This window comes from Homo sapiens, chromosome 9, assembly GCF_000001405.40.
Source record: "Homo sapiens chromosome 9, GRCh38.p14 Primary Assembly".
In the NCBI taxonomy this organism is placed as follows: domain Eukaryota; kingdom Metazoa; phylum Chordata; class Mammalia; order Primates; family Hominidae; genus Homo; species Homo sapiens.
Window position 1 is genome coordinate 25,384,035 of NC_000009.12, and position 19,840 is coordinate 25,403,874.

The 19,840-nt window shown below is 34.1% G+C and overlaps 2 annotated features.

Annotated features, from left to right (window-relative positions):
• Positions 12,732 to 13,234: an enhancer, noted in NCBI's record as "OCT4-NANOG hESC enhancer chr9:25396764-25397266 (GRCh37/hg19 assembly coordinates)". NCBI's record gives its function as "activates a minimal SCP1, AML or CMV promoter by ChIP-STARR-seq in naive and primed H9 embryonic stem cells {active_cell/tissue: H9 hESC(naive and primed)}" and the evidence as "EXISTENCE:reporter gene assay evidence [ECO:0000049][PMID:30033119]".
• Positions 13,739 to 14,240: an enhancer, noted in NCBI's record as "NANOG hESC enhancer chr9:25397771-25398272 (GRCh37/hg19 assembly coordinates)". NCBI's record gives its function as "activates a minimal SCP1, AML or CMV promoter by ChIP-STARR-seq in primed H9 embryonic stem cells {active_cell/tissue: H9 hESC(primed)}" and the evidence as "EXISTENCE:reporter gene assay evidence [ECO:0000049][PMID:30033119]".

Here is a 19,840-nt window from a genome sequence, read left to right on the forward strand (position 1 = left end):
ATGGAGAATAAACTTAAGAGAAGCAAGGGAGAAAATAAGTAAAACAGTTATTGGGATTTTGTAACAGTCAAATCAGGGTTGATGCTGGTCTCAACTAGGAAAAAGAGACCAAATCGGAACTAGGACAAATATTATTGTCCTATTTAAGGACGTGGAAAGGATTGAGTATGACTACAATATCCTGGCTTGAACAGTATGTGTCTGATTATACAATTTACTGTGATTATAAAAACTAGAGGAAGAAGGAGTAATGTAGAGCTGATGACAGAACTGGGGGAAGAAATAGTACAGTTTTGAATATGCTAAATTTAAGAAACATTTTAAATATCCAGCTTGCAAAGCCAGCCTGGTACTCTCAGTAGAGGATCATGCCAGGGAGTTAAAGGAACAGAAAATATTGAGAGCCATGGGACTGAAGACCACCTGACAACAGAGGGTAAAGAAAGAGTAAAATTCATGGATTAGTGTTTTTAGGAACTCCAACATTTCGCACTTCTGCTTTTCACTTCATGTTGACAGAGTGTCCTAAAACACTCCTACTTTTTTATCCTCTGTGGACAAAAAAACAAGCTTTTAAAATTTTTATTTATTTTTTAATCCTCCATGGACAAAAAATAAGCTTTATAAATTTTTAAAATTTATTTTATTTACATATTTTAATTATGGTCTTAGTTTCACATTGGTGATGTTTAGTATGCCTTCTCTCTTCCTTTCCAGCCCAGCTTATTTTAAAATCCCTTCGTGTTACATCAGTTTTCCCCAATGAGGGCACATAACTGCAAAGAGGGCTAACTCGATGATCCAATGACAAAATTCAACGCAAATTAAGTATAAACAAGAAGTTGAGATAAACAGCACACAACCTCAGTTAAAGCCATAATGATTGTTCCTTTAAATTTCTTTTTTTTAGAATATCCACTCTAGGACTTAGTAATAGCTATCACTTATAAACAATTCCTTGATTCCTATGTCTTGCTCAGCAAGTCTCCTGCCATGTGCCAGTCCCTTGGAGTACAGATGTCAATAACCATCAAGGATTAGGCAAACTTCCTTTGCATAAAACTTGACCATCTCTGACAGAAGTCATCAATCTTCAGACGTAAACCACAGACTTCAGCTGTGTAAAAAACACTTTTAAAAATATACACTTTGATATTCTAATATTTGTAAATCATGATATATCAATTTTTTAACTTTATCACCATTATAAATAGAAATGTCAAGATGTTAATTTTGAAAATAAATCCAAAGCATACTACTTAAACCAGAGTCCACCACCATGTCCTGTAAGTAGCATGAACATTAGCTGGTAACATTTTCTATTTGAAGCAAATATAGATGCCATTGTATGCAAATGTGAACATCTGAAAAAAATCTATGTATGCTACACATAGTCAACCTGTTTAGGATTGAAGGCCAAGTTTTTTCAAAAATTTTAACTCTATGAAATAAAGTTTTAAAAACTACAGGATAACACCTTAACCCAGTTTTGCAAACCACACATGCCTATGTTGAAATGTAGCATCTACCAGTGAATATTTTTATTTTAGCCAAGAAATACAGCTAATCCCAACTCTCTTCAATGCATCCATTATATACTATACAATAGGTGTCTCCTAAAGCTCTATTTTAAAAAAACAATAGTTTATACGTTAGCTTTTGTTTTCCACTATGCTTCGATTTGTAGCAGTCTTTTGTATTTTATTTTGTTTGTAGGATATACTCCTATGGTCTATATTTTTTTTCTTTTGAAAATGATAATTCATCAAAAAATTTCCTAAGTATATTAATTTTTACTTCTTCCTCCTTTATTTAACTTTTTGGATGTTCATATGTCCAAAAACTTGCAGCGCAACTCATTAAGGCCTATCTTTAGAAATCAACACATAAATTTGGAAAGTATTCACACTTGATTAACCGAAAAAAAGAAAAGAAAAGTAAATCCAAAGACTCAAACATGACAGGCCTTCAGTTTTCAAAAGAGGCACAGAAATCAATTTTGGCTTAAGGACTAAAAAGAGTTAAAGTTTTCTTCATACTAAAATGAAAGGGTTTTATTCTATGTTTTTTACTTTCTCACCACGGGAAATGTCCACATAGAGCCTTAGTAAGCATCTGCCAAAGGCACTTTTAGGGATATACCTTCATTGGTTAGACAGAGCCTGCTTTTTCATCTCTATTGGTAAGTGTACAGCTTAGGAAAAAATAAATAAATAACTTGACCAGTTTAGATCTGTATTTCCTAAAATATTTTCTTAGGAAAGGAAAGCAGAAAGGCATCATCCTATGAGAGCCAGTATACTTAATAGAGATGAACCACAGATTTTGCTCTGGGCTTTCTGGCAGCAAGCATGAAAAAGCATAAAACACACTCTAACATAATTTATAGGCGCCATAAGACCATACCTTGATCCACTAGATAAAAGTATATAAATACAAATGTTAAAAATACATTTGTGTTCCTGATTCAAGAAACAGAGAAATTTTTCTCAAGGGTCTCCATACTGGAAACAGAAGGATCAGTTAAAAATAATATATTCAAAATGTCTTTATGTGAAAACAAATTCGAAGGGTTGTTCCTAAAGCAATATTGAAGTCTGTAGAGGAAACACACAAAGATGTTTTCATAATTTATGAAAGAAAGCTATGGGCATCATGTGTTCAAATTCCCAGATTTTATGAAATGTTTTAGACAAAAGAAGGCCATAAACGCTTAACCGTACTTTACCTGACTTTTATTCTGGGTATTTTAGTGTCAATTTAAAGAATATTTCAGATTGGATATGATGAAAATTTCTGTATAATTTGTTTAATTCCCTCAACTTTTCTCTCACCTCACTTTCCATTCAATTTATGAGATCAAACACAACATTTTTCAAATGTGCTTTATATGCCTGTGCTTTGCGTCCTTGGATATGCAAGAGTATACAGCAGTGAAATTGCTGCATGGATAATTCTGTTCAGTCTTTAAAATATCTGGAGCAATTTAAAGAGTAAACGTGAAGAGTAGATGTCCATAATATCACATTACAGCACTGCTCAGAATAGAAAAGCCTCAAAGTTCTGTGGACTCACCAGTCACAACAGAGAAGGAAGCAGTAAACATGAGAGGTAATACTAGCTTTGGGATTCTACTTAATATTCACTAAGGGTATTCCAAAAATGTCAGGTTTTTTTCTGTAAATTTTTATTGTGCATCTGTGAATTTCCTGCCCTTTTAAAGTCCTGATTCACTAAGACTTTAAGCCAATGGTGAAAATATTTCTAGTTTCCACTGAGACATATTGAAAAAAATGGCATCTAATTTAGTAATAATTGGCTAAATCAGAATTAGAATGAAAAGAAAATTCTGGGGACTTTTCTAAAAGGGTAGATACACAGTGTGTCATAAGAGCTAATAATCTACACATAATAAACCGTGAGAAAAAAATACATTAAATGTTACAGCTTTATCACTCAAAAAATTTTGTTGAATAAGTCTATCTAATTCTTAGATACAAAATATCGTATGTGTTGATTAAACAACAACAAAATAACGAAAAACACTGTCAGCATATAATGTCATATTCCTTCTTTATGAGAGATTCTATGAATTAAGTTTTACAATACAATTCTTTGATGAAATTGGATTCATTCAGTCCCTCACTTCAAATTTATTAAGCCCAGTAATACCATTAGATACAAAGATAAGAGGCAAGATCCTCTACTCAAGGAACTGGGTGCCTTTGTGAAGAAATCAGACATGTATGCATGTACTTACAATCTGTACTATAAAAGAGGCATAAATACAGTTGACCATGGAACAAAGCAAAGATTAGAGACACCAACCCCCATGCAGTCAAAAAATCCATGGGCAACTTTTGACTTTCCAAAAATGTCACTAGTAATAGCATACTGTTGACTGGAAGCTTACTGATAACATAAACTGTCAATTAACCTATATTTTATATGTTATATATATTGTATATTATATTCTTATAGTGAAGTAAGCTAGAGAAAAGAGAATGTTATTAAGAAGATCATAAGAAAGAGATAATTTATTTGTTATTTAATAAGTAGAAGTGGATCCTCATAAAGGTCTTGCTCTTGTCTTCACATTGCGTAGGCTGAGGAGGAAGGGGAAGAAGAGAGGTTAGTCTTGTTGTTTTTGGGGTGGCAGAGGTATAAGAAATTCTGTGTATAATGGGATCTCTGCAGTTCAAGCTTGTGTTGTTCAAGAGTAAACAGTTGTGACGTTTAAGAACTGAGAAAGTAAAACTTAACCCAATAATATATCACAGAATATAACTATATACTCTCTTTTATTAAATACCTAATTAAAAGAAATAATATTAGCCAAGATCATCAAGACCATCAAGATGACAAACAGTTCATTAATTTTTGTATCACCTCGATATTTAATCTTCTATCATTGAATATAATTTAACCACCATGAGGCCCTATTCTTGGACTATATTAACATAGCCACTTAAAGATTCATCTTAATGAAATCACAGTTTATTTTTTTAATGTGAGGTAAAATAACTTATTTTTTGTAAAACTAATATAAAAAAGCACCACCTCTATCATTCAATGTCTTCCATATCATTGATTCACAACTATAGAGGAAGATATGTCAGATTTACCTATACAACTACTGGTTGCTTTTGATTTATTTGTTGTTGTTGTGTTTTGTTTTCAAATTATATCCTATTGCTAGAGATTCAGATTTGGCACCTTTATTTTCTTTTTCCCTAAACCCAGGAATTAACGTCTTGGTGTCTACAGATATAGTCATAATACTGTAGCTTTCAGGTGCATTGAGAATGAAAAATATTGGGATTTTTAAATAATTTACTACTTGGAATTTTAAAATTTATTTTGAAATAACTGAATTAAAAGTAGCTGGGTTTTTTATGATAAATCTAAGTATATTAAGCAATTTTCTTTTTACTTGCCTGCCAGAAAGATTCATGTTAATTATATTAATCCTTGTGGTTAGCATATTTTATTCTTCATTTTTTATTCTTCTTATTTTCCCTTATATATTCTATATGTCTTTAAAGTCATTAAGCAGTGTTTCCATTTTTCTATTGCTATTGCAACAAATTTCCACAAATATAGTAGTTTAAAACACTACAAATATATTATCTTATAGTTCACTGAAGTAGAAATCAAGGGGTTGGCAGGGCTATGCTCCTTTCTAGAGATTCTAGAGGAGAATCTAGTTTTTGCCTTTTCTAGCCACTAGCAGTTGCCCACATTACTTGACACCTGACCCCTATAATCTTCAAAGTCAAGAGTAGTCAGTAGGCCCTTTCTCATGATTCTACTCCTCTGGTTTTGGCTCTTAGGCCTGTTTCATCCCCATTTGAGGATACTTTGTGAATACATTGGGCCTGCCAGAATAATCTAAGATAATCTTGTTAATGTAAACTGATTAGCAACCTCAAATCCACCTGCAAGCTTACTCCTCTTTTACTTTGTAATACAATATATTCGCAGTCTAGGTACTAATGCATGATAATTCTGGGGTACAGGCATCATTATGCCTAATACATATAACTTTTAAAAGTACACAACAAATAGAGGTGTATGATCATCTGGGTCTCTAGAGAACTCATGATGAGGTGTAAGTATTGGTTTCATTTGTCTTCAGCATAGATTGATCCATTAAACATATATTTAATTAATATCTTCTTGGTGCCTGATATTGCTTTTTTTTTAACTTCAGAATAATATGAACATAGCCTGACACTGTTTTAGGCATTTTACTTTTATTTTATTTTATTTTATTTTATTTTATTTTATTTTATTTTATTTTATTTTATTGAGAAGGAGTCTCACTCTGTCTCCCAGGCTAGAGTGCAGTGGCGCGATCTCTGCTCACTGTAACCTCCACCTCCTGGGTTCAAGTGATTCTTCCACTTCAGCCTCCCGAGTAGCTGGGACTACAGGTGCCCACCACCACACCCAGCTAATTTCTGTATTTTTAGTAGAGACAGGGTTTCACCATGTTGGCCAGGGTGGTCTCGAACTCCTGACCTCAGGCAATTTGGCCACCTTTGCCTCCCAAAGTGCTAGGATTACAGGTGTAACCCACCATGCCAGGCCCTGTTTTAAGGATTTTAGATACAGATCTCCTTGGCAAAACACATGAGAAGAAGGAAGATTGCCTGGAAATCAGTAAGAACTGGGCATTTCTTGGAATCTTGTTATATAGTTACTGAACAAATACTTATTGAGAGGCTAGTTTGTACTACATTAAATGCTAGATATTGGATACAAATTATTAGAAACAATGAAGTGGTCCATATTTATAAAGATTACAATGTAGTCTGGAAAATATCAAATAAACAAGTGAACCACTAAATAGTTGTAAAATTACAAATTAACAAATAAAGTACAGGTTTCAAAAACAGCAAAAGATTCCACATATATAAGAAAGTCAGGAAATACCTCAAGAGGTTACACCTTCTAAGCCCAAGGTATATAGAATGACATACTACTATATAATATTTCTCCATATGCTCCCAGAAATATCTGCATCATAAACACTGAGTGTTCTTGCTAAATATTAAGATTCTCTTACTTCTTTTATGTCCAGGGAATCTATATTTTAGCAACCTTATCAAATAATCTTTCTGAACACTAAATTTCATAAATGTTGCCATAATGCTTAATGTTAAAAGGATCAATCTGTGGGTTTTCTGTTGCAGTGCAAATGACAAATCATTTTGTGTTACTCAGGGTAAGATTATTTTCCACACAGGTGAAAATGGTTATCTTCAGGAAGAAGACTCTTGGAGAATAGAAAGAAGTTCCACAGAAGCCAAAAAGAAAAAAAAAAAAAAACTACATGTGAATTGCAAAAGGCTAATTGATGCCTTTGATTTTCTGTGAACCATGGCAAAACTTGTGGAGCTGTGCTTTTTATTTTTTATTTTTTTAGGCTAAGGTTAGGTTGACCATTAGAGTATTAACTTGGTATTTTAAGTAAAAGAAACACCACTACTAAATTCTTAGACCTCAGTAAGCTTCTTAAATAATGATTAGACCATAATATAATTAGAAGTAATGCAAATAAACATTTAAAGCAGTTTTTACAGTAATTTTGTTTTGTTTCTGAGGTTTTTGATCTGTGTTCCACTTATTGCTACTTAAGTGTCTTATTTTAGTGACAATACACCTCTTCTTATTCACTCAAAAATAACATGGTAGTAAAAAATTGAAAACTGGAAACTATATTAGGAATAATAGGAAAGTTTATCAAATAAAAGCATGAATGCATATGTATTAGTTCCTTCTCATGTTATAAAGACATACCCAAGACTGGATAATTTATAAAGAAAAAGAGGTTTAATGAACTCACAATTTCACGTGGCTGGGGAGGCCTCACAATCATGATGGAAAGCTAAGGAGAAGCAAAGGCATGTCTTACATGGTGGCAAGCAAGACAGCTTGTGCAGGGGAACTCCCCTTTATAAAACCATCAGATCTCGTGAAATATATTCACTATTATGAGAACAACATGGGAAAAACCTGTCTCCAGATTCAATTACCTCCCACCGGGTCTCTCCCATGACACATGGGGATTATGAGAGCTACCATTCAAGATGAGATTTGGATGGGGACACAGCCAAACCATATCAGCATATATAATTGTAAAATAACTATTTTTTAAATCCAACAAATAAATTCTGCCCATATCGAATGGATATTTTTTACATTAACTTATTGGAAAATGGTACCCCTAGGTGATATCCATTTAATAATAGGATAAATATAGTTTTTTATGTGAGAAATTCTATAGTAATATGATTAAACAAAAAAAGGCAAAAATTAAACAAAATAAAAATTAAATAAAATAAAATACATATAAGAGGTAGAAGAGAAGTGTCAACACTGGCACAATATTTTAATTCAAAAGTAGGCAAACTGTATTTCTCAGGCCAAATCTGGCCCCCTACCAATTTTTATAAAGTTATTGAGCTAAAGAAGTTTCTTACACTTTTAAATGGTTGAAAAATTATAAGGTACATTAATATTTTATGACACGTGAAAAGTAGATGAAATTCAAATTTCAGTGCCCATAAATAAATTTTATTAAAATACAGCCACAACTCATCCATTTATAAATGGTCTCTGGTTCTAGGCTGCTACAACAGCAAGGTTGAAAAGTTGTAACAGAGATCTTATGTCCCACAAAGCTTAAAATATGTACTATTTGTGTTTTTACAGACAAGTTTGTCAATGCCTGTTTTATCTAAAGATTTATGATTTTTACCTGTTTGAAGAATATTAATGGACGTGCCACTCCTTATGCCACTTTGGCATAAGGATTATTTTGAAAGCAATTAAAGAGTTACAAGAAAAGGTCTGCACCCTACGCCATTTGCCTAAAAACAGGAAATATATTGTCAAAGATGTCCCTCCTCTCCTCTCCACCACAAATGGCAAAAGTTAATCATTGGAGACACTTTTATACCCTTATCAGTCCAGAGACTATACCAGATAAGTCTATGTAACAAGCATTACTAACTAGCCTTTATCTGTCATTGGTTTCCTTCCTACAACATATCTACTTTCTTACAATTTCTTGCCCTTGGAAGCCTACCACTGCTTTCCTTTCATTTCTCTAGATTTATTACTCTTTGTCAATGCTGCTGTATAATCCCGAGTTTTAAGCCACTTTTTCAAGTCACTCATCTCTTGTTAGTCCCATTTTACATGCATGATACACATGTTAAACTTTTGCTTGTTTTTCTCCTGTTAACCTGCCTTTTGTTACAGGGGTCCAGCTGAGAATTTGGAAGGGGAGAGGCAAATGCTTTTTCCTCCTCTACAATAGTATAAATATGCATATGTATGTTTTGAGTCCTCACTAATTGTCATATACTATCCATGTTTTATACCCATTTTTTGGCCACATAATATATTCAATATCTGTTATTTCACTTAATCCTTGAGTTAATCATGCGAGGAATGTGCTAGAATTAACCACATTTAAAATATACAAATACTGGAATTTACATAGAATGTATAATTTCCAGAGTCACACATCTGAAACTCAAGCCCTGCTTAAGTCTGACTCCAAAGCCCATACTCTCTTATCTTTTTTTACTGCTTTATATTTTTAGTTACATATTTATGAATTTAGTGACATGTTTATGTATACTTAAAAACTGATTAAGACAGCAGAATCTAAAGCAATTATTAACACATTTATTTTCATTTTAATTTCAAATAAATCATTTGCTATTTGAAGAAAATTATTCTTGAATGACAACAAGTCATGCACCTAACGTTGCCAGATAGAGCCTTCTTAAACAAATGAAAAACAGTTATAAACAGACAAATGCATTTTCACCTTTTTCTCCTTTAGAATTTTCTGTCTAGGAAGGGCAGATAGTCATGTTGAAAATCACACATTCTAAAAGCCAAGGGAATAGTCCTGAAAACACCTGTGAGATAGCAGATACAAATTGAATGAGGCAGAGAAGGGAGGGAATATTAAACAGAAGAAACTGGCCCTATGCTTAACCGCCTAAAATTACCCTAGGTTTTCTTATGCTAAATTCATAACAGATGAAGTTCAAGTGATAAAATTGTGCCAAGTGAGGAATCATAACCTTTCTAATGCTGTGAATCAGGGATTAATTATTACTGGGAATAATCATTAACATTGTCCTGACACCTGGACCCAAAAAAGCCTCTTCTCCAGCAACCCTGCAAAATATGATCCTGTAAGAAAAATGTCCCATTCTGGATCTTAGGTTGGAATTGACTCAGAATAGAATTAGAATATCTAAAAAATGTTCTAATACAATTTTGTTAACCTCTATGACTTTTATACATTCTTTGAGAATAAAAAATATGTGTGAAAAATTTTCTAATTTGAACCATAATATGAAAGGGAAAAGGGAGATAAGTTAAAGAAAAAAATTATATATATAAATTTACGAAAAAAGTCTCCATTTTATTCACTCAATGGATGGCACTTAACATAGCATGAAAACAAGGAAGCAATTTCTGTATACGTCACTGTCTTTATTAGATGTTTCACGTATATGATAATATTCTATTTCAGCTCTGTGAAACAGAACATTTTTTTCTTATTTAGGAATTGAAACTTAAAAAACAAAAACAAAAGTAGCTGTGCTAGATCGTCTTTGATCCACAGTTGGTTGAATCTACAGATGCGGAACCTGTGGATATGGAGAGCCAACGGTGCTCTGAGCACTACAGTAAGCTGTGACCTCAGAACAAAGACCAAATCCAGTCTGTGGCTGTGACACTTCTTGTTAAAACCAATGGAAAGTTGAAGGTGCATGTAATGGATCTTTTAAGTCAGACAATAAGGCTCCTAGGAAATGCAGGAGCATGAGCCCATGGAATCTTGAAGTAGCCAAACTTTCAGTAATTAAGGATAAAGAGAGATGATTTTTAAAAGCATTTTAGAAGCGACTCTGGCACACAGATTTGGCTGGAATCAAATACATGGAAACTCAAAATATTTCAAAAGACCTGTACTGGCAAAGGTGCCACCTGCCTGTAGTAAAAAATATGAGGCACAAAAGAAATTCATTAAGAAGCTGAAGAAGAAATATGGTCAATGACCTTTTCAAAAGTGGTCAGGGAGAGTTATGAAAAGTGGAAATTCCCAGAGTCAAGTCTAGAGCTGCAGAGAACAATAGACTGAGTTGAAATGAGGTCCAATCAAGGAACATTTTCTATCCTCAGAGTAAGGAAAGTGGGCAATATTTGCTCAATCGGATCTCAGAGTTACTAAAGATCAATAATAGCTGTAGGCCTACCCTTCTTTGCACTTGCAATAGAAGTGTTTACTGTGGTTATCCTGTCCCTGTTCCACCATCGTATGTTGAATGTATGAGATAAGAGGGTTGCAGGTAATATATCTTAGCTCTTCTGATTTAGGGGCACAGGATATAGATCTGATCAAGCCTGATGCAATGATAAGATGGGACTCTGGGTATATTTTGGAGAGTAATAGGGTATTTTTCATATGGGGACACAGAGTACCCAAAATGAAGATCATAGCTGTGGCAACCATGAAAATGTCTGTGGGGGCCACAGGCTCTTGGCCTTGTAAAGGTTTTCTAAAAACCACTGACATGAGGCAGATTGATTAATAGGAAAAAAGGCATACAAATTTATTTAACATGTATACACAGGAGACTTCACAATGATCTAACTTCCTTATGAGTTACAGAAACTTATATACCATTTTGAGATTACTGAAAGAATGAGGGCTTAAATTCTGGTAGTACAGGTTATAGGAGGGGGGAAAGAGGCTTGGCTAGCAAAGATGGCCTTGCTATGTAGATGAAGCCTCCCTCAGAAGAAACAGATTGTATTTCTTTTCAGACTTTTAAAGGTACGTGACTCTTACTCTCTCAGATCCTGGGTCATGGCTGAATTAATAGAGATTATCTACAGATGCAGATTTTCCCCACTTAAGACAGCTATGCAAGGCCATTTTTATCAGGACGGCCAAGTAGCAGCCATTTCAAAATACGTCAAACAAATATATTTTGGGGTAAATTATGTTAATTTCCTTCATCTCACCCAAATATCTTAACTGTGGGGAGGGTGAGTGTGATGCTGGATATATGCAGTTATGTCTATGAAGTGACCAGTGATCTGTCTGAAATGGGTGGATAACCTGGGGGTGGTATTTGTCCTCACTGGATAAGCTTCAAGTTATTTAGGGAGTTCCAGTTTAAAATATGTATCTCTTAAAATCATCTATATTTTTAAAACTTTAACTTTTACACACTAAGCAACAGAATACCCAAGAGAGAGAAAGTAAACATTTAAGTATTAATTGTTAATAAATAATTTAAAATATTCTGCTTGCATAACAACATCTTTTAATTAGGTTAAAATTGTATACTGAATCGTAGATCTAAAATAGCATGTCCTTATAAAGATACATTTAATTTTCAATATCAATTGGTATGTTTAAAGAAACTTGCTTTAGAAATCTGAGAACATAAAAATACTTGAGAGAATATTGCAAATATGATCACCACAATTGGCTAATACCTGTAAGAAAAAGGGTACAGATTCTGGAATCTGACATGCCACTTACCACCTCTGTGTCCTGGAAAGTGTATTTAACTTCCCTGAACATCAGAATCATTTTCTGTAAAGTGGAGCTGATATTAAAGCCTTGTACAGTTAGTGTGAAATTAATTGCTATGGTATATGTAAAGTTTTTCTTGAATGGTAAAATCTCAACAATTGAATTTCACGCCTCTCCCCCTATGAATACTCACAGACATGTTTTCTCAATGCATAAGGAATTGTTTATCAGACATGAAATATGAAGTTGGAATTTGTAAATGAATTTGTGGGCTTAGGACAAAAAGCACCCAATTCCATTGATTTATTGTCCAGTCTGTCCTTCACATAGTGCTAGTCAACATATCAGAATTAGTTGTTCTATTTGATGGCTGCCTTTCTCATTCACCATAGTGGCTTGGTAGAATGTTGATTAGCTGTTAGATCAAGGTATAAGAAAATTAGATTAACTTAAATTGGCAAGTAATTTTCAAATAAGTAGGCTTTAAATTCAGTCATAAAGTGTAAGGGTGGAAGCTGGTCTGAATTCGTTAAAACCTTATCTATTGGGTATGTATCCAGATTGCTTTCCTTGAATTTTGTGTGGCCAGTTGCCACATTTAAGTTGGACATGGGGTGAGGAGGGTAGGTGTAATACTGAGCTCATGCAGTGTTATCCAAGAAATGACTAGTAATCTACCCAAAATGAGTTTGTAGCCAAAAATAAAATTCTAACTGACTGATGGACACACCCCTTGGCTAAGGGCATTCCAAAGTTAGCCTGAAAAACTAGCTCAGCCCATGATGGGAAGTGGAGATCAGACAGGCTTCATTATACCCTTCTCCTTTTGGAATTCAGGCACAGCTGATAGCATTAACATTAAAACAAAGGCCTTAAGACTGATAGAACAGACTCTTTAAGTCTGTTAAGTTTACAATCTATTCTCTCTTAAATCTGCTACCTGGAGGCTACATCTGCATGATAAAACCTTGATTTCCACAACCTTTTATCATAACTCAGACATTCCTTTCTATTGATTCCAGGTCTTCAGTTAATAACCAATTGCCAATCAGAAAGTCTTTGAATCCACCTGTGACCTGGAAGCTCCTGCTTCCAGTTGTCCTGCCTTTCTGGACCGAACCAATTTACATCTTACATGTATTGATTAATGTCTTATGTCTCCCTAAAATGTATAAAACCAAGCTGTAGCCCAGCTACCTTGGCCACAGGTTCTCAGAATCTCTGGGGGCTGTATTGCATGCCATTGGTCACTCATAATTGGCTCAGAACAAATGTCTGCAAATATTTTCAGATTTTGACTCTTTTCATCAACAAGTTGATAACTTTGAGATGATGTATTTTCTGTTGGAAGAGCCCTGGGATCCTACCTCGTTCCACTTTCACATTCTCCTTTCTACTGCTCTGTCCTCCCAATCTATTACTCACTATATCTGAGTTTATCTCAACTTAGGCTCTGCCTTCATTGTGTATCAATACCACAACATTTTTTGAGAACTGCTGAGTAAAGACTTGTCTACATGCTATGTAAGCTTATAAGGATGTCTAACCCCTTTGACCCTATGCCATATATATTCTTTCCTTTATCAAGTCATAGATCATATATGAGCAACATTCTTTACAAAATTATTTACTTCCTTCCTTAATTTCCTATAATTGTTCTATCCTTCTCTGCAATTGATGACACACCAAATCCATGCCTCAAGCTAAACCCTGTGCAGGTCCTCATTTTTTTTTTTTTTTTTTTTTTCTGGATGCCTGAGAATAGATTCCAAGCCTTAGGAGTATGTAAATAGCCTGAATATGAGATTTGTCCTAGTCACAATTGTGACAATGGCAGCTTTTGTCTTAAGCACAATAAGAAAGAGAAAAAGAAGTGAGCTTTGGGACTTTAAAACATTGGATTTGAATTGTAACTTTACCTCTACTTTCTCTGATGTTTGAGCAATTCATTTAACCACCCCTAAGCTTCAATTTGTTCTTATTTGTAAAATAGGGACAGAGTTTTTTTTGAGAATTAAGTGAAATAATGTGTATAAGTATTCTAATTATTTTCTTTGCATGAATTATGTAAAATCCCGAGTACTTTCTAGGTGTTTATGGTAAAATCTGCTATGTGAACCAGACCTGCAACCTTTTCTTCCTGGACATTCAGCTGCACTGTAATTTTCATGCAGATTTCCCATGCAGCTGTCCATAAATGGATTTCATTTTCTCAATCACTGAAGGTAGCTATATTGCTAGTGAATTTTTCCCTCAATTTAGAAAACTAGAAATACAAGATGTAAAACAAGTGATGTTAGATTTTATGTAACTGGAAATGAATTTAAGTCAAAGAAGAGCTATGATAATTTCCAAAGCAACTTGGTAGTTACATAGTCACTTGCTTTAATTTTGACATTCTAGATTAATAGAATTAATATTAGATTCCATAAAGGATAGTGTAGAAATCAAATGACTGTAACCTCTATAAAGACATGTTTTTTTAAAAAAACTTATATTTACCAATAAACTAAACAAATGAAGTTGTTGAGAAAATTTCCTACTTTCTAAAAATTTAAAGTTATAAAAAAAGAGAAAGTAAAGTTTGCAACTAAAGATTACATTGTTAAAAAATTTATCTTCTGCCATGTCTTTCACATATTAAAAACTAATTTAATAATTTAATAGTTTTATTTTTTAATTCAATTTAATTTGAATTAAATTTGCATGAAAAGAGTAGTCACTACAGCCATTTAGATGGGAAAAATGGCTTTAATACTCCATATATACACTTGTTTGAAGAGAGTGGAATCTAATTCTAATGCTTAAGATTTGCATATTACAGAAAGAAAAAAGCCTCATTTTAAGGCAGCATTATGATTTTCCATGACAAAAGCTTGAGTATAAGTTTAGATAGATCTGGATTCAAGTTCCAGCTCAACTCTTTAAATCAGCATAAAAATTTGTATAATTTTCCAATATCTTACAGCCTCCTTTTATTACCTATTAAATAAATATAAACAAATTTTAATGAAATCCATATCCTCTCCTGGATAAATGAAACAACAAATGTCTGTGGTATATAGCATGACCAACCTTTATTAGTCACTAAGGAAAATAATATTATCTTTATAGACTCACCTACTTAAAAAAATACTGTATTAAAACCCGAGTGTCTCAGCTTGTTTTCTACTCTGTAACAGAATACTACAGAAATTTATTTAGCTTATAGTTCAAGAGGCTGGGAAGTCCAAGATCGAGGAGCTATATCTGGTGAGGGTCTTCTTTTGGCTTTTAATGTGGCAGAAAGTATCACATGGTGAGAAGTGAGAAAGCATACAAGACAGAGAGAAAAAGGGGACCAAACTTATCCTTTTATTAGGAGCTCACTCTCAAGATAATAAACCCACTTCTGCTATAGCAGCATTCATCCATTCATGACGGTAGAGCTGTCATGACCTAAACACCTGTCAAATGTCCCACATCTTAATACCTTACATTGGCAGTTTAATTTCAACATGAATTTTGGAAGGGACATTCAAACCATAGCACTGACCAAACATGCTGAAGCTTCGTGTGAAAATTTATAAGATATCTTATGAAAATAAGAAACAGAGAGAAATCAGAAATTGACAAAATTTTCATTTGGTTATTCTGAGACGGGCGGATCACAAGGTCAGGAGATCGAGACCATCCTGGCTAACACGGTGAAACCCCATCTCCACTAAAAATACAAAAAATTAGCCGGCCGTGGTGGTGGGTGCCTGTAGTCTCAGCTACTTGGGAGGCTGAGGCGGAGAATGGCGTGAACCCGGGAGGCGGAGCTTGCCGTGAGCCGAGATCGCGCCACTGCACTCTAGCCTGGGCAACAGACACCACAAATAATAAAATCCTATTACATTTTGTTTGAAGGTGATAAAAAAGAAATTGTTTCTGGTGACCTTCTAACTAGAAAGAGATACAATCCTTTTATTAAAAAGGTACTCTGTTTTAGAGAGCAAATATATCAGAACCAGATATTTTTTTCTTTAGTTAGAGCCACAGGAGGGTTCATAGAAAACTACGTAAACGATTGCGTTTAAAATGGTCCATAAATGTCTAGCAAGTAGAAGCTTGTAGTAAATATGTAGGACAGAAGAAAAGTAAAGCCCTGAATTTTGCCCAGAAAACTGATTGAGAGTATTTGAGGAAACAAGGGAAGACCCTCATTGAGCTTAACAAAGAGTTGTCATAAATACACATTTTTTGAATGGCAACATAGATTGCATTTGTTTAGAAACCTATAAAGAAGGAATTAATAGGAGATAGCCAGGCATGGTGCTATAATCCTAGCACTTTGGGAGGCTGAGGAGGGAGGATTGCTTGAACCCAGGAGTTCAAGACAAGCCTGGGCAACATGGTGAGACCCCATCTCTACAAAACACTTAAAAAATAGCCGTGTGTGGTGATGTGTGCCTGTAGTCCCAGCTACTTGGGAGGCTGAGGTGGCAAGATTGTTTGGCCCCATGAGATGGAGGTTGCAGTGAGCAGTGATCACGCCACTGCACTCCAGCCTGGGTGACAGAGTGGGACCATGTCTCCAATAATATATTATCATCATCATCATCATAAGAGAAACCAAGCCCAGTGGAACAGTTTTCCACAGGAAAGAAAAAGGTTTTCATAAGAAAGTTTTAGAGATTTTAGCACAGGATTAAGTAGATGAAAAGTCAAAAAACCAGGGCAACTCCCTAACGCATATGACTATGATGGAAGAAGGGCTTACCTTCATTAGAAAGGGGTCACCAGAAGCACTGGACAGGCAGAATTTAAAACAAAACAAAACTTGCTAGATCTTTGAGTGCCAATCTATTTCAAGGTATTGAAGTACCCATGATGTGTTACAACAATAAAGTTTCTAAACTAAGATTTTGAAAAATCACATATTATTTCAAAGAATACATTTGAGTACAGCCTAATAATTGATGTAAATTTATATTAAAATTAAACTCTGTGATCCGATGTGAAAAGCTGAAAGTGAGGACAATAGAATACTGATTTTCTGGCAACTAGTGTCCTGGGCTTAATATCCACTGGTAAATAAAATAAACAGCAGCTTTATGGATTATTCAAAGGCCCAAAACTTGAGGAGAGTTTTATAAAGTTGTACACTGGAAGTAGAAGCAATAAAATGGACATGTTTAGATCCCCAACATCGGTAAGAGATTAATTGTAAACATCTTTCAGTTTAACCAAGGGGTGTTATTCATGGGAGTACTCCATGTTTATATAAAAAATGTGAATGAGATGAAAATATAGGTAGAGGAGTTAAACAGGCTTCAACAGTCCCTAATTTCTGATGTTCTCTTGCACAATCTTCTTCCCTTTATTGTATCTGAGACTCATGACTTGCTTCTAACAACAGAGAACAGTAAAGGTGAGAGGATGTATCATTCCATGAATAACTCATGCTGTGTAAGACTTTGTCTTGCTGGCCAACTTGCTCTCCTGGCTAAAGATAATAAGGAGGTGTTCTAAGTCACTCGGTCTATGATGATTTGTTGTACAGCATAGAAAACTAATACAAGGAGATCCATCAGTCCTTCACAGAGTAAGAATATCTTGGTAAAGGTAGAGATGTCTTTGGAATACAAGTGTTTTTAGGTTCCAAGATTACTAATCCCTTTTTTCAGGTAACTTACTAGCACTGCTAAGAAGGTTCATTTTATAGCTAGTAATTATGTGAAGTTAGGCTCCAGCTCCAAATTCAAAATAATAATAATAACAATAAAAGGGAAAAAATTCCTGTCAAATTTGTTATCCAAAGAAGTTAATGATTTCCCTAGTTCATTTTTTTCTCTTTTAAAAATATTTTTATTTTTAATTTAGCTAAAATTGTAGTCAGTGTTTACCATCTTAACCATTTTTAAGTGTATAGTTCAGTGGTGTTAAGTACATTCAAAAATCTTTATATTTTGCAAAGCTAAGAGCTCTATACCCACTAAAAAACTACACATTCCATTTTGCCCCCAGTTCCTAGCATCCGTTATTCTACATTTTGTCTTTGAATTAGACTACTCCAGGTACCTATATAAGTGAATCATACAGTATTTATCTTATTGTGATTGGCTTATGTAATTAGCATAATGTCCTCAAGGTTTATCCATGTTGTAGAGTGTGATAGGATTTTCTTCCATTTTAAAGCTGAATAGTATTTCAGTGTTATGTATATACTACATTTTGTTTATCTATTTATCTTTTAACAGATACTTGAGTTGCTTCCACATTTTAGCTATGTGAATAATGCTGCTGTGATATGAGTATACGAATATTTCTTTGAAACCTGGATTTCAATTATTTTGGATACATATACAGAAGTGGAATTGCTGGATCATAAGTTCATTGTATTTTTAATTTGTCAAGAAACTGACATAATGTTTTTCACAGTGGACACACAGTTTTACATTCCCATCATCAGTGCACAAGAGTTGTAATTTCTCCACATCTTTGCCAATATTTGTGATTTTCTGATTTTGTATAGCAGATATCCTAATGAGTGCAAGTTGGTATCTCATGGTTTTGATTTCTGCTTCCCTAATGATTAGTAATGCTAAACATTATTTTATGTGCATATTGTTCATTTGCATATCTTCTTTGGAGAAATGTCTATTCAAGTCCTTTGCTCATATTTAAATCGAGTCATTTGTTTAGTTGTTGATGTATAAGAGTTATTCATATGTTCAGATATCAACCCTTAACAAACATATGGTTTTCAGAGTGTTCACCCATTCTATAGGTTGCCTTTCCTTCAGTTGATTGTATCATTTGATGTGTAGAAGTTTTAAATTTTGATGTTGTCCACTTTATCTATTTTTAAAATTTTGTTCCTTGTGTTCTCTCTTTCTCTCTCATCACCCTAGTATTCATGAGTGCTCCAGTTCCAGGTTTAAAGTGAAACTCAGAAATAGTGATCACACTAAAGTAAATTTGTTTCTTTAAAAAGGTAAGAATGTTGTTGCTGGGCTTAGAAATATGAATAACCATATGCCAGATAGATGGATGGATAGATAGATACATACATACATACATACATACATACATACATACATAGACAGATAAAACCCCAGAGGTCAAGGTATCAGAAAACATAGGAAATATTATGTTCATGCCCCTGAAAAGTGCAGTCAATCAATTCTCTTTCTAGGTTTTATTTATTTATGTGAATTCAAAGTGTTTATTAAACAGATAAAAGCCTCTCAACTTTTTGCTTTTCCTACCTCTCTCAGGCCAAAAATTCTGATTTTGCAGGATTTTCCTGCTACAGTTTTTATATAATGAAGCATGGGCCAGTAAAAAGCGTGGGATAGAATTATGACTCCCACCTTAATTTGTTCAATTTCATGAGCTATTTGATGCCTTCCACAATGCAATTTTAATGAGTGAGCAAACCCCAATATGGGATTTAACTAATTTTTCTCTCTTAGTTCCTTTTTCTACTCTCAGATATGGCTAGCTTTTTCAGTTGCCAAGAATATATGCCCTCATTACTTACTCAGGTGGTTTAAAAGTGACTACAGGAAGCAAATGACAAGTATTTAGAAAAAGGAGTTGTCTGATCCATTTACATGGAGTACTTATTTGAAGGCTTTATACAACCTTCCTCACATCCCTATTACCATCATCATCACACAATGGGATGGAATGGAGTAGGTTGATAAGATGTAGTCAAAGGCTCCAGTCTTTCTACTTTTCAGGAATACTTGTCTAATGGTAAAAGAAATGCACTGATTAAAC